Source organism: Homo sapiens, chromosome 17 (genome assembly GCF_000001405.40).
Source record: "Homo sapiens chromosome 17, GRCh38.p14 Primary Assembly".
NCBI classification, from domain to species: domain Eukaryota; kingdom Metazoa; phylum Chordata; class Mammalia; order Primates; family Hominidae; genus Homo; species Homo sapiens.
The window spans coordinates 16,437,341-16,450,051 of NC_000017.11; the positions used below are offsets into that span (position 1 = coordinate 16,437,341).

General features: G+C 51.7%; 1 protein-coding gene, 1 long non-coding RNA gene and 3 other non-coding genes across 41 annotated transcripts in view, besides 9 other annotated features; 4 read left to right on the forward strand and 1 right to left on the reverse strand.

The window, feature by feature from the left end:
* Positions 149-1,050: an enhancer, noted in NCBI's record as "NANOG-H3K27ac-H3K4me1 hESC enhancer chr17:16340803-16341704 (GRCh37/hg19 assembly coordinates)". NCBI's record gives its function as "activates a minimal SCP1, AML or CMV promoter by ChIP-STARR-seq in primed H9 embryonic stem cells {active_cell/tissue: H9 hESC(primed)}" and the evidence as "EXISTENCE:reporter gene assay evidence [ECO:0000049][PMID:30033119]".
* Positions 1,051-1,950: an enhancer, noted in NCBI's record as "OCT4-NANOG-H3K27ac-H3K4me1 hESC enhancer chr17:16341705-16342604 (GRCh37/hg19 assembly coordinates)". NCBI's record gives its function as "activates a minimal SCP1, AML or CMV promoter by ChIP-STARR-seq in primed H9 embryonic stem cells {active_cell/tissue: H9 hESC(primed)}" and the evidence as "EXISTENCE:reporter gene assay evidence [ECO:0000049][PMID:30033119]".
* Positions 1,066-1,255: an enhancer, noted in NCBI's record as "active region_11764". NCBI's record gives its function as "activates an Ori minimal core promoter by ATAC-STARR-seq in GM12878 lymphoblastoid cells {active_cell/tissue: GM12878}" and the evidence as "EXISTENCE:reporter gene assay evidence [ECO:0000049][PMID:35858748]".
* Positions 1,316-1,645: an enhancer, noted in NCBI's record as "active region_11765". NCBI's record gives its function as "activates an Ori minimal core promoter by ATAC-STARR-seq in GM12878 lymphoblastoid cells {active_cell/tissue: GM12878}" and the evidence as "EXISTENCE:reporter gene assay evidence [ECO:0000049][PMID:35858748]".
* The window catches only part of SNHG29 (small nucleolar RNA host gene 29), a 31,662-nt gene continuing 20,597 nt past the window's right edge, over positions 1,647-12,711 (forward strand). For 5 of the 32 annotated variants that reach the window (NR_027173.1, NR_027177.1, NR_027178.1 and 2 more), the window contains exons 1-4: positions 1,647-1,720; positions 1,987-2,074; positions 2,845-2,913; positions 3,734-3,790. This is a non-coding gene — a long non-coding RNA (small nucleolar RNA host gene 29). Of the gene's footprint in view, positions 2,075-2,187; positions 2,364-2,770; positions 2,914-3,733; positions 3,879-4,027; positions 4,689-12,711 lie in introns of those variants that run through there. The other 27 variants (NR_027176.1, NR_045023.1, NR_027163.1 and 24 more) reach the window with 26 other exon arrangements.
* Positions 1,951-2,852: an enhancer, noted in NCBI's record as "NANOG-H3K27ac-H3K4me1 hESC enhancer chr17:16342605-16343506 (GRCh37/hg19 assembly coordinates)". NCBI's record gives its function as "activates a minimal SCP1, AML or CMV promoter by ChIP-STARR-seq in primed H9 embryonic stem cells {active_cell/tissue: H9 hESC(primed)}" and the evidence as "EXISTENCE:reporter gene assay evidence [ECO:0000049][PMID:30033119]".
* On the forward strand, positions 2,169-2,216 carry SNORD49B (small nucleolar RNA, C/D box 49B). The gene has a single exon (NR_003043.1). It is a non-coding gene; the product is annotated as a small nucleolar RNA, C/D box 49B (small nucleolar RNA).
* Positions 2,696-2,766, forward strand: SNORD49A (small nucleolar RNA, C/D box 49A). The gene has a single exon (NR_002744.1). It is a non-coding gene; the product is annotated as a small nucleolar RNA, C/D box 49A (small nucleolar RNA).
* On the forward strand, positions 3,886-3,958 carry SNORD65 (small nucleolar RNA, C/D box 65). Its single transcript, NR_003054.1, has one exon. It is a non-coding gene; the product is annotated as a small nucleolar RNA, C/D box 65 (small nucleolar RNA).
* LRRC75A (leucine rich repeat containing 75A) overlaps positions 4,237-12,711 on the reverse strand; it is a 50,617-nt gene continuing 42,142 nt past the window's right edge. For 4 of the 6 annotated variants that reach the window (NM_001113567.3, XM_017024620.2, XM_047435961.1 and 1 more), the window contains 2 exons: positions 10,505-10,620; positions 4,237-6,791 (listed from right to left, as the gene is read on the reverse strand). In NM_001113567.3, coding sequence (NP_001107039.1) covers positions 6,248-6,791; positions 10,505-10,620 — 660 coding nt within the window. In that variant the 3' untranslated portion in view covers positions 4,237-6,247. Of the gene's footprint in view, positions 6,792-9,544; positions 9,692-10,504; positions 10,621-12,711 lie in introns of those variants that run through there. The other 2 variants (XM_047435962.1, NM_207387.4) reach the window with 2 other exon arrangements.
* Positions 6,455-7,354: an enhancer, noted in NCBI's record as "H3K27ac-H3K4me1 hESC enhancer chr17:16347109-16348008 (GRCh37/hg19 assembly coordinates)". NCBI's record gives its function as "activates a minimal SCP1, AML or CMV promoter by ChIP-STARR-seq in primed H9 embryonic stem cells {active_cell/tissue: H9 hESC(primed)}" and the evidence as "EXISTENCE:reporter gene assay evidence [ECO:0000049][PMID:30033119]".
* Positions 6,468-6,547: an enhancer, noted in NCBI's record as "active region_11766". NCBI's record gives its function as "activates an Ori minimal core promoter by ATAC-STARR-seq in GM12878 lymphoblastoid cells {active_cell/tissue: GM12878}" and the evidence as "EXISTENCE:reporter gene assay evidence [ECO:0000049][PMID:35858748]".
* Positions 11,319-11,820: an enhancer, noted in NCBI's record as "H3K4me1 hESC enhancer chr17:16351973-16352474 (GRCh37/hg19 assembly coordinates)". NCBI's record gives its function as "activates a minimal SCP1, AML or CMV promoter by ChIP-STARR-seq in primed H9 embryonic stem cells {active_cell/tissue: H9 hESC(primed)}" and the evidence as "EXISTENCE:reporter gene assay evidence [ECO:0000049][PMID:30033119]".
* Positions 11,821-12,320: an enhancer, noted in NCBI's record as "H3K4me1 hESC enhancer chr17:16352475-16352974 (GRCh37/hg19 assembly coordinates)". NCBI's record gives its function as "activates a minimal SCP1, AML or CMV promoter by ChIP-STARR-seq in primed H9 embryonic stem cells {active_cell/tissue: H9 hESC(primed)}" and the evidence as "EXISTENCE:reporter gene assay evidence [ECO:0000049][PMID:30033119]".

Sequence of the window (12,711 nt, forward strand, 5' to 3'; positions counted from 1 at the left end):
AAACCCATTAAAGCCACCTCTCTTGCTTTCTCTTCCTACCGAGCTTCTTGCTCAATTCCCACCCCTCCCAAGCCATTCTCTGCAGGGCAGCCAGAGGGCCTTCCTAAGACATAAGACAAACATGTCCTCTTTGTGCTCTGAAGGCCTGAGAGGCTCCCCAGTACCCACAGAATGCCCTAGCTGACATCCCGAGACCCCCACGGTTTTGCCCAAGCAGTTCCAGACACCTCCTCCCCTCCACCTCTGTTGCCCCTCCCTCCTTAGCACTCTCCCCAAATTCATGCAGGCCGAGAGACCTCGTGCTTGATCCCTTGACCTGGCTCTTGCTGGAAGCCCCCCTCCTCCATTAAAACCCTACACTTGGGGGTGGGGGGAGGGATAGCATTAGGAGATATACCTAATGTAAATGATGAGTTAATGGGTGCAGCATACCAACATGGCACATGTATACATATGTAACAAACCTGCACGTTGTGCACATGTACCCTAGAACTTAAAGTATAATAATAAAATAAAACCCTACACTTGCCGGGCGCCTGTAATCCCAGCACTCTGGGAGGCCCAGGCGGGCGGATCACCTGAGTTCAGGAGTTCGAAACCAGCCTGACCAACATGGAGAAACCCCGTCTCTACTAAAAATACAAAATTAGCCGGGCGTGGTGGCGCATGCCTGTAATCCCAGCTACTCGGGAGGCTGAGGCAGAAGAATCGCTTGAACCCGGGAGGCAGAGGTTGCGGTGAGCGGAGATCGCGCCATTGCAGTCCAGCCTGGGCAACAGGAGCGAAATTCCGTCTCAAAAAAACACAAAAACGAGCAACAACAACAACAACAACAAAAACCCTACACTTATTTCTGAGGCCAGCTCAAAAGGTCTTATGATTGTCTTCCCAGTTTTTTGCAGTCAAAATGAATTTCTTTCCCTTGGTATAACGTGTGTGTGCAAAACGTGGTTGCATGGATTCTTTTTCAAGGAGAGAGCTGAGCATGTTCATAGGCTGAAAGGAAAGCCACAGTAGAGAGAGTTTTCCATGGAAGGTGAGGCAGGGGCATAGGTGGAGGAGGCCCCAAGGAATGAGGAGAGGAAAGGAGGTGGGCAGAGCTTTACCCCAGAGGCGAGCAGAGGATGGACGTGGATCTAGATAAGACGTCAGCTCGTTCCCTAAAGGTCGTGCTAAAGGAGTAATGAGGGTGACCAGTGCGCAGGGGTTTGAGAAGCCCCGTGGATGTGGTGAAATAGCTGTGGGGAGAGTATTTGGCAACGCTCAATAGATTCAGGAGGAGCTACTAGGATGAATGGCTGCCTTGTGCCACAGCTCTACAGGCTTTCACGTGTGTCATCTCACGTGATCTTCTGGGGCGCTGGTGTCTCCGTTTACTAGAGGACCAATCGGAAGCTTAAAGAGAATGAGTAATTGGCCCAAGACCACCCAGCTAAGGAGTGGCGGAGGTGGGGCCCAAACGCGCGATCCAGCCCTCGCGCAGGCGCCCTGGAACTCCCCGCGCGTGTTGTGACCCAGAATTCCCGGGGCTGTGGAAGAGACCATAGACTCAACAGGAGGGGGAGTCCTGGGTAGCGCGCCGGTCTAAATCGTTACTTGGCGGAAAGTTCCCATGAGTCTTTGCCAGCGTCCCCCTCCTTTTGTGAGGATTGGGATATTCCGACTCCTTAAGGGCCTGGCGCACATAAGGTGTGACCTTTTCATTCCCGTTGTTATGGAGGTAGGCTCTCTAGGAATCTGGGAGTAGTAGCTGGGGGGCAAGAGCAAATAAAGAGCTCGAGCTTCTGTGGTCTCTGGGGAGATGTTCCCGGGAAGCCTGTCTAGAGGGCGGAGGGCAGCTGTTGAGATGGCGTGGCTCCCCGGCTCCTGCGCCCGCGTGGCTTTCGCGGCGGGCGCTGCGGCCCGGTATTGGACAGCCTGGCAGGGCAGCGCGGGGCCGAATCCGGCTGCCGTGGCTGAGGCTCATGGATCACTCTTTTGTGGTAGGGCCACATCTGCCAGAGCCTGGAGTCTGCGAAGGCCGGGACCCGGTTCCCCGGCCCACAGTGGGGGTGTGCAAACCCGAGAGAACTGGGTAAGTTGGGGTCGGCTTGCAGTTTGGGGTACCCCGAGGGCGGTGTACGTCGGTAAGATTGTAACAGTATTACTGGAAGACTTATTCGACTGTCCTGATGATACTTGTAATAGGAAGTGCCGTCAGAAGCGATAACTGACGACGTCTAATGTCTATCTGACCGCAGTCGCTGAAACCTCTACAACTTAGTTGACCGTAACTGCCAGAGCCCTGCCCTGAATTCCTGTCCTTACTCCCTCTTTAAGATTGCGTACCCACTGCAGAGTGCTGAAGACGGGGTAGCCACGAGGTGAGAGGCTCTCTGGTGTAGGGTTTAACATGGAACGTAGTTTTGTCACTTGAATGCACGGAAATTGGCGTTTTGACAGTTTTCTACGTTTAGGTGTTTTATACACTTTAGGGTAACGTTATCATGTCATTGCATAGGGTGGAACTTAAATAGAAACTGGAGATGGCTGCTTCAGCCACAGTCCTAACCTAGAACTGCATTTAAAGCAAACTGATAATGCAGAAACAAACTCCTTCGTTAAGAAATGTCTCCAGTAGCAGGGTTAGCTTAAGTTTCAGGTAGGGTCTAGATCTGCGGTTGGAACAGTACTGGAGGGTTGTGAGGTGCTTGACTGCTCTGATGAAATCACTAATAGGAAGTGCCGTCAGAAGCGATAACTGACGAAGACTACTCCTGTCTGATTGCAGTCAAGTCTTCACCACTTGCTGGTTCCCAGGAGTAAACTTGTTTGAACGGTGACCTAATTGCTATATTCACCTAGGTTGCAAATTCGTGAAGAATCAGCATCATGTTTGGCAGCTGAGTATTGGAGCCAGGAGCCTGCCATGAGGTAAGCCTTGCTCTATGGGGAGGCTAGTGGCTGACCACGCCTAGCTGTCAGGTCGAATATTGGCAATTGGATTTGGTTAACCTAATACCTTGTAACAGTGTAGCCTATCCCAGAGATACTGATTTTAGTTTCCGGTGGCAGTGGAGCCAGGGTGGATTACCTAGAAAGAGGGGCTACTCTATTTACCTCTTGGCTGTTTAGTCTCGGGCAAATTACCTGTCTGCTGAGATGTAGTTTTCCTCAGATGTGAAAAGGAAAAGTAATCTTAGCTTTGTGAAGTTTAAATTGATATGACTGAAATGGAGATTACAACTCCCCTGAGGCTGGGCACAGTGGCCTGTAATCCCAGCACTTTGGGAGGCTAAGGTGGGTGGATCACCTGAGGTCAGGAGTTCAAGACCAGCCTGGCTGGCCGACATGGTGAAACCCCATCTCTACCAAAAATACAAAAATTAGCCGGGTGTGGTGGCGTGTACTTGTAATCCCAGCTACTTTGGGGGCTGAGCCAGGAGAATCGCTTGAACCCGGGAGGCGGAGGTTGTAGTGAGTCGAAATCGTGCCACTGCACTCCAGCCTGGGCAACAGCGAGACTCCATCTCAAAAAAAAAAAAAAAATTACAACCTACTGAGAAGCTAATTAAGATTTGTAGTCCTCAATAATTTACAAAAACTTAGAAAAATTACCTCTAATTAGGTCTTAAGGGGCTTTTGTTAGGATGGACTTAAATTTGTAAAGTCATTAATTGACTGTCATCAGAAATGCCTGTCCTGCTCTGCATCTGCAGTCTCTAAGGTGTATGCGCCTTCTCCATTCCCCCAGGTTTTGAGAACAGAGTGCTGTTTTAGAGCTGGCAGCAGCATCTCAGCCCAAGAGAAGGTAAGCCTTGAGCTGGCCAATGATCCCTTCAACCCCATAGTGGAATGAATAAACAGCTGATCTTGTTAAAACTCGCTTCAAAAAAAAAAGATATCAAATGATGAAATCACCCAAAATAGCTGGAATTACCGGCAGATTGTGTAGTGGTGAACCTATGGTTTTCTGAAGATATCTCTTACCCTGTGATTGACTGTCAGTTGGTGCAGAAAGTGAGATTGAAATGTAGTTTCTTTGCAGGTTATATTCCCAGAGGATGTCAGTCCCAAGGACCAGTAGCTGCCATCAGTTTGGATTCTGAAAACTAACTGGCATCAACACTGGGTGTAGAAACATGCTTGCCTTATGTATCAGAGGACATGCTCAGCAGATCCAAGAGATATATTTGGCAACTTTTTCTAGAAAAGGCACATTGGGTATCATTCATTACATTCTTGAGTTTTTTTGGGTTTTTTTTTTTTTTTTTGAGACAGTCTTGCTGTATTGCCCAGGCTGGAGTGTGGTGGCACAATCACAGCTCATTGCATCCTCAATCACCCAGGCCTAAGCAATCCTCCCACCTTGTAGCTGGGACTACAGCTCACAGCACACCTGGCTAAAATTTTTTTTTTGTTGAGACGGATTCTCTATGTTGCCCAGGCTGGTCTCAGGCTCCTGGGCTCAGATGGTCCTCCTGCCTCAGCTTCCAAAGGCACAGGCCAAGTTGTAGCTTTGTCCCTTGCCATCATGCCCAACAAGAGGTTCTATACCTTTTAATGAATTGACTTTCATAAATTGGTTATGTTGGTGGGCAAAGTTCTTTAAGCTGGAAATTGTAAATTCCTCCTGAAATGTTTTTTCATGCAGTTACCATGAACTAATACTACAATAAAGGATGGTCTTGGGTGTCAATTCTTGAAAATGTGTATTTGAAGAAAAAGTAAATTTCGCCTACTGTTGTCAGATATTAGCAGTCCAGATATTCGCTCTAGCTTGTAAACTTCCCTGTGGTCAGCCTAAGCTCTTAACCCCCTATTCTACAGCTTTAGACTGAAGGCAAAAGCTCAAAGCATTTAAGGCCTCCTCAATTTCGGCCCCTGCTGCTCTGTGCTCTGTTCCTTGGTGTAGCTTTGTTCCAGCTCCTGCAGCATTGCACCATTCCTAACCACAACCTTAACAGCATGTAGGGCCCCATACTCTAGGCCCCATCTTGCTGTCTTCCTGTGTTGGAATCTTGCCTACCAAGGCCTGTCAAGAGGGTCCTCCCCCATACTGTTTGCCCACAAGGTTCAAGAGTGATTGGCTCCCAGTCTTCCTGGACTGAACTACTTGGATCTAGGGGTTGCCTGTTATTTAGAAGAGATCCCTTAACTGGTAGGGCCCTTTCAGTAGGACAGTATTTGGGTAAGGGGAGGGTATAAGATGAGAACCTTTGCTAAGTTAGGTTCCTTTGGGAGCCTCCAGTTTGTTTCTCCCTCTCCCCAGCCATCTTGTTGGATCTGCCAAGGGATTGGACTCCTTCATTGTCCTAGGTTTTTAAGGTTTTAAAGCCCACCTTCTGCAGTCGGTTTTCTGGAATGTGTTGGTGGATTACTTAAGAGTTATGGGGAAAGAGTTCTTACGGCCTGTCTAGGTCAGTGAAGTCATACTGGCAAGTGACAAGAAGGAAGCCAGGTTTGTCACTTACCCTGCATGCTAAGGACATCAGAGCCCACATAGAAGTCTGGTAGTTTTTCAGCCAGCAGTGGGTAGGGAAGGTGGATAGGGGATTTCTGAACAGGACTTTATGCCTGTATGCATGGGCACCATGTCTGTCCTGAGCACTACCACATGGCATCGTAGGCTGCTCTGTCAAAGGATATAGCGATAGCTGGTCCTATGGGCAGATGCCTAGAATCAAGGTGGGCCTCAGAAATAGGGCTGGGTCTCCATAAGGAGGTAGGCCACGTTCAGTCCACCCCTAGCATAGATGGAACTGGGGTCTCGGGCAACCAGGAGTTACAGGAATTTTGCTAAAGATTCCCACCTTCCTTGAGTGGGGACACATTCCTCTGGTTGGAGCTTGTTCCCCTAAATGAAAAATGTAATGCAGTACATGTAGGGGCCCTACTGTATTCTTTTTCTGGGGGAAAGCTCTTGGTGTTCACAATGGCTCAGGCTTACAGTACCTCCAGCCATGTGCCCATTTCCACAAGTCTTTGGGGAAGGCCATGAGCTGAGCTGAGAGGGTTCTCTGGGGCCTGGGATGACTTAAGAACCAAATGGCAGATAATGGGATAGGGGGCAGATGCAGAGGACCAACGGGAAGTTTTAACACAAATCCCCTTCCCCAGATGATATGGTTTGCCTTTCTGTAGGTGGGTGGCCCAGGCCAATTTTTGGCAATATCCTTAACCCACCTGATAGGAGAAGCGCCCTCCCCTGCCTGCCTTGCCCATTCTACCCAACAAGGACTCCCTGGTGAGGCCCTTCACTTCCATGTCACGTCTGAGCTGCAGCTACAGTCTCCTTGCCCTCATGGTGGTCTTCGGCAGGTGCCACAGGGCCCCCTCCAGGGTCCTCCTGGCCTACTGTCCCTTCCCGGACCTCCTCCCCACTGCCTGGGCCCTCACCCAGCTCCAGGATGGTGGGTAGGTGGCCCTGCTTTGGGGAGCGCTTGCGCAGGCTGAGCAGGAAGGGCTGGGGCAAGGAGAAGATGTCCACGTTGTTGCCCAGGTCAATCCACGTGACATTGGGGAACTTGCTGGGATCCTTAAGGATGTCAGTGAGGTCGCGCAGCACGGCCCGGGTCAACCGGTTGCCATTGAGTGCCAGTGTGGTGAGGCGGGGCAGGGTGCTGAGTGCTGGCAGCAGCTGCAGGACCATGTCGTCCGTGAGGCCTGTGAAGCCCAGCTCCACGCTGTCTACCTGCTCCCCACAGCGCTGTAGGTAGCTGGTCACCCGCTCCAGGTCTCGGGAGGTCAGTGGGATTCCCGACAGGTCCACTGTGTTGTCTGGGGGGCTTCCGGCCAGGACAGCCTTGAGGCTGAAGGGAAAAAGGACAAACAAGGCTCAGGCACATAGGGCAGGCCTTTCCCCCAGAAGCTGCAGTGCCAGCCTCTGCTCGGCTCTCCGACGCTAGGGACTGCTTTTACGAAACACTTGGATGTCGGATGCCACAAGTGCAGAGGTGGGAGCAACCAGGGACCTCAGTCCCCTGACACTGCCGCACGTCTCAGCTGTCAGGGCCCAGCTGGCCGTAGCCTGAGGTATGTGGCTGCCCCTATTTACCAGAAAAATTGAGTTAAGAGTACCATTGGGCTGATATATGGAAGAAGTTCATAAGTGCAAAATGGTGCCTTGTATAGTAGGCGAGTGAGGAATAAACATTTGCTGCTGTATTCATCACCTGGACTCAGCTTCCCACTTCTACCACCCTGGGGTGGCAGCTCAGCCCCCATGAATGGCACAAAGGATCTCTGAGTCCCCTCTTTCAAGACCATCTTCCCCACCAGAGAAGGATTCCCTATGGGGAGCCTGTAAGACAGCAGGCAGGGCAGGGCTCAGGGGCTCTGAGCCTGGTGGCAGCTGCTGACTCCTGGAGGCTGAGTGCCTTGCTCCTTGCTTCTGCTTGTTCTTGGGACAGAGCCCAGGCAGTTCAAGCTGATGGCAAGTGTGCCCTTCCCTGCACACCCCCCACCCCACCCCCGCCATCTGTTTGCTGGCTCCAAGGCCCAGGTGCAGTGGTGAGATGTTCATTTTCCACATTTTTTTTTTTTTTTGGAGACAGTCTCGCTCTGTCACCCAGGCTGGAGTACAATGGCACGATCTTGGTTCACTGCACCCTCTGCCTCCCGGGCTCAAGTGATTCTCCTGCCTCAGCTTCCTGAGTAGCTGGGATTACAGGCGTCTGCCACCACGCCTGGCTAATTTTTGTATTTTTAGTAGAGACGGGGTTTCACCATGTTGGCCAGACTGGTCTGGAACTCCTGACCTCAGGTAATCCACCCATCTCGGCCTCCCAAAGCATTGGGATTACAGGCATGAGCCAACACGCCTGGCCATTTTCTGCATTTTTTTTTTTTTTTTTTTTTTTTTTTGAGACAGTCTTGTTCTGTCACCCAGGCTGGAGTGCAGTGGCGCCATTTCTGCTCACTGCAATCTCCACCTCCTGGGTTCAAGCGATTCTCCTGCCTCAGCCTCCCGAGTAGCTGGGACTACAGGTGTGTGCCCCCACGCCTGGCTAATTTTTTGTATTTTTAGTAGAGATGGGGTTTCACTGTGTTGGCCAGGATGGTCTCGATCTCCTGACCTCATGATCAGCCCACCTCAGCCTCCCAAAGTGCTGGGATCACAGGTGTGAGCCACCGTGCCCGGCCCCATTTTCCGCATTTCTAAGTGTGCTGGGAAGGAGAGGGAGGTGGAGGGGGCTCCCAGCCTGCTCCAAGAGCATATGCTACTGTCAACAGCTCAAAGGTCATGGCTTGTACTTCCTGGCAACACAGGGTACATTTGTCCTTGAGATCTAAGCTGGGAGGCTGTCCACAGTTTGTTCATTTTGACTCTGACTGGGGTCCAGCCCCAGGGAGTTGGAAAGTAAAACTCTCAAGGCGTGACATTTAAATGCTTGGAATGCTGCCAGCCATCTGTGCAGCTTGATTTAACTTTGGTGCTATTATCAATGTCATTAATAAAGACCCATTCCACCAGGGAAGCAGTGTGGTGGTGAACAGCCTGAGCTGGGTTTGAATTCAGCCCCACCACTTACCAGTTGGGTGATCCTAACCAGTCAATTGACAACAGTGATATCTCCTCCCTAATTTGTTCCTTTTTGTTTCTTGGAGATGGAGTCTCACTCTGTTGCCCAGGCTGGAGTGCAGTGGCATGATCTTGGCTCACTGCAACTTCCGCCTCCCAGGTTCAAGTGATTCTCCTGCCTCAGCCTTCTGAGTAGCTGGGATTACAGGCGTGCAACATCATGCCCAGCTAATTTTTTTATTTTTAGTAGAGACAGGGTTTCACTATGTTAGCCAGGCTGGTCTTGAACTTCCTACTTCAGGTGATCCGCCCATCTGGGCCTCCCAAAGTGCTGGGATTACAGGCGTGAGCCACCGTGCCCAGCCCATTTGTTCTTTTAACAAACATTTGTTAAACTCATCTGTGTGCCAGGCAGTATCCTAGACACTAGGGTCACAGTGGTGAACAGGATGGACAAAATCCCTGTTCTTCCTCTACTAGGGGGAGACAGACCACAAACAAAACCCTGAGTGTGGGGCGATACTGTAGCGTGGGGCTGTGGCTACTCAGGAGAAGGTAGCGTGTGGACTGACACATGAAAAAGTAAGCATGGGCCATCAAAAGAGTTTGGTGAAAGTTCCAGCAGAGGGCACAAAGGCCCTGAGGCTGGAAAGGGACTGGTGTGTCTGTGAACCAGCAGGAAGGCCAGTGTGGCTGGGGCGGGAGAGCAGGAGAGGTGAGACGAGGGGGCGAGGAGAGCAAATCAGAGGCCCATGCTTGGATTTCATTCAGGTGCCATGAGATTCCACCCGAGGGGAATGAGACCTCATGACATGGCTTCCGAATGAAGAATGGACTGAGCATGGGTGTGTGTGGGGAACCAGGAGAGGCCCTTAGGTTCCAGCAGAGCTCAAACTACCAGCTTTCCATTGCTAAAGAACCAGCTCAGTCTCATGGCATTCCAGGTTCCAAGGGCCCCCCGTCTTGCTGTATCCCCATATATGTCCCCTCTACCCAGGTAGAGCCCCTCCCGTAGCCAGCACCATCACAGCCTTACACTGTTCATCCACCTGGGAATGCGCCTCTCCAGGATCCATCTCCTAGTTGTGGGTGGGGGTGGGGGGCGGGTCCAGAACAGAAGGAGGCACCAGAGTTCTTTCTTCTCCATGAGGGAGGGGGACAGCCCTTCCTTCCCCAGCCTGCAGGGACCTGCAGGGATGAGCTAGCACCAGCACCAAGGCCTTGGCAGAGTCTTTGTGAGGGCACACCACTCAGCTATCATTTGCAAAAAGACAGGTGTGCTTCCTTCTCCAGGAAGCCTTACTTCCAGGCTCCCCTCTACTTGCTTCCTACGGTGTTATCACAGCCCACAGGTTCTGTGTCCTACATGCCCCTCAACCCCTACCAATCTTCAAGGGACTCTGAACCCCCTTGTTGCTGTATGGACCAGGGACAGGGCTGGGGTCTGGGTCCCCCTGGGGACATCTGAGATAACTGAGGAGTTACTAGGGAGTGCTTGTTGCTCAGGCTGGAGTGCAGTGGCGCTGTCTCTGCTCACTGCAACCTCCACCTCCCTAGTTCAAGTGATTCTCCTGCCTCAGCCTCCTGAGAAACTAGGATTACAGGTGTGCACCACCACGCCTGGCTAATTTTTGTATTTTTACAGGGTTTCGCCACATTGGTCAGGCTGGTCTCGAACTCCTGACCTCAAGTGATCCACCTGCCTCAGCCTCCCAAAGTGCTGGGATTACAGGCATGAGCCAAACACTGTGCTTATCTGGGAGTGCCCACTTTAGCACACCAGGAATTAGAAATTTCTCACATCTTCCTCCCACCCACCAGACCAGGGTCCCCCTCTAGATGTTTCCCCACTCTGGAATCCTCCTTCCATCTTACCTCCTTCAGGCAGCTTCTATGACCACCCCCCATGACTCCGCCCTTCCCTTCCCTACATCCCTGGGAGGGGTGCCCTGTAACACACACTCAGCCTGGCATAGACCTGCCCGGGGGAGTGTAACTCACCAGGCCTGTGGCTTCCTTTTCACCAGCCCCCGGTGCCGCCTCCACTGGGAGTGGGGGCTGAGGTGGTATGTCAGCTGCCGGCACAGCTTCTCCATGGCGCCCAGTGCATCGCCTTCCTGCAGAGGCAACCATGGGTGGTAGGGCCCTGAGTGGCTGGGTGCACCAGTCTCAGCCCCCAGGCTTCCTGTCTCCCGGGTAAGAGCCCAGCTCCCCCAGGCTGAGCTGGGGGAGGCCCTGCTCTGCTGGCCTAGGGTGGGCACCCTAGGCAGACAGCAGTGGCTGCAAACAGATCTGCAGGATGGTTTTAGTTTTTGTGAATTAGTTGCTAGCATTGAAAAACAGATTTATGTAAGTCTGGATTCCAGGAGATCGGACAAAAGTTGGCTGGAGCCAAGTGCCTGCTGACCCCCTGGCCAAGACTCACCATGATCCCTGCCACTCCCCAATGTCCAGGGCCGCTCTGTGCATTCTCTTGCTCAGCAGATTTATTGAGCACTTACTCGGAGCCAGGCACTTGTTCTAGGAAGCTAGGATATGGCCATGAACAAATGTTCGTGTCCTTGTATTTCACATAGTAAAGGGGAAAATGAGATATTTTTACCTGTGTCTCCCTCAAAAGTGAGAACAAATGAATGAGGAGGCCAAGTCTTTCCCAGCGCAGTTCATTCACATGCGTTCCTGTCAGGCCCGTTGGCATCTGAGTTTGAAACCCTGGGTGTCATGGGCTGAACTGTATCCCGCTGACAATCACAAGTTGATGTCCTAACCCCTAGTACCTTGGAATGCAGCTGTATTTGGAGACAAGGCCTTTAAAGAGGTGACTAAGGTAAAATGAGGTCAGAGGAGTAGGCCCTAATCCTGTATGACTGGTGTCCTAAGAAGAAGAAATGAGGACACAGACATGCAGAGGAACAACCACTTGAGGACACAGGAGGAGGAGGGACTGACAGACCTAGGAGAGAGCCTCAGAAGGAAACCCACCAGCCAGCCTTGGACTTCTAGCCTTCAGAGCTGTGCGAAACGAACTGTCTGCTGTTTAGACCACCAGTCTGTGATTTTTTGTTATGGCAGACACTGGGTTAAATGGTGCAGCTGAAAGATGCTACAGACTCCAACTACATCCCTAGGAAAGTCAATCCAACAGTCCCCGGAGCCAAACTCGTGCTGGACAGGGTGAGGGCATGAGTCCCTCCAGGGAGTGAGGACCAAAAGCGTGCTCCTGCCAGTGGGCCAGTGCTGAGGCTTGGATGCAAGCGCTGAGGCTTGGATGCAAGCGCTGGACTCAGATGCAAACCCACATGTGGCCAACGACTCGGTGTGGGGAGGTCCGGCACGTTAACCACGCACAGTGCTCAGCATGGTGCCTGGAGTGGGTGCTCAACAGGCTGCTTTGTCATTACGATTCCCACACCCCTCTGCTAGTGGACAAGCAGTGTATTGAGTAGTGAAGAGCAAAGACCTGGGGCCAAACCGTGGGGATTCAAGTCCTGGCTTTGTCCCGTTCTGTGTGGCCTTGGACAATTGCTTGACTTCTCTGTGCTCCAAACCACATCTGTGAAAGGATTACAGTACAGACCTCACAAGAGTTTCTGTGAGGATTAAATGAGTCACTACTAGCGCAGTGCTTTGAATAGAGCCCAACCCACAGCAAGCTCTCCAGGCACACTCTAAGTGAATACCGTGATAGCGGCACCAGCACAGAGAATTCTGGCAGGGCAAGGAGGGAAGATGACTTCTGCCCAGGCTCAGATTTGAGCTCAGCTTTATTTTAATTTAATTTAATTTATTTTTTGAGACAGTCTTGCTCTGTCACCCAGGCTGGAGTGCAATGGCACGATCTCGGCTCACTGCAACCTCCGCCACCTGGGTTCGAGTGATTCTCCTGCCTCAGCCTCCCGAGTAGTTGGGATTACAGGCACCCGCCATCACACCTGGCTAGTTTTTGTATTTTTAGTAGAGATGGGGTTTCACCATGTTGGTCAGGCTGGTCTTGAACTCCTGACCTCAAGTGATCCACCCGCCTTGGCCTCCCAAAGTGCTGGGATTACAGGTGTGAGCCACCGCGCCCAGGCTGAGCTCAGCTTTTAAGAGCAGATGGGTTAGTGATTTCAGATGGAGAAAGAAAACGTGAGGCATCCTTGAGTGAGGAGGAAACAGTCTGTGGCAGGGCTTGGTGATGTGGCGGCTGTGGGGTGTGTTACTGACAT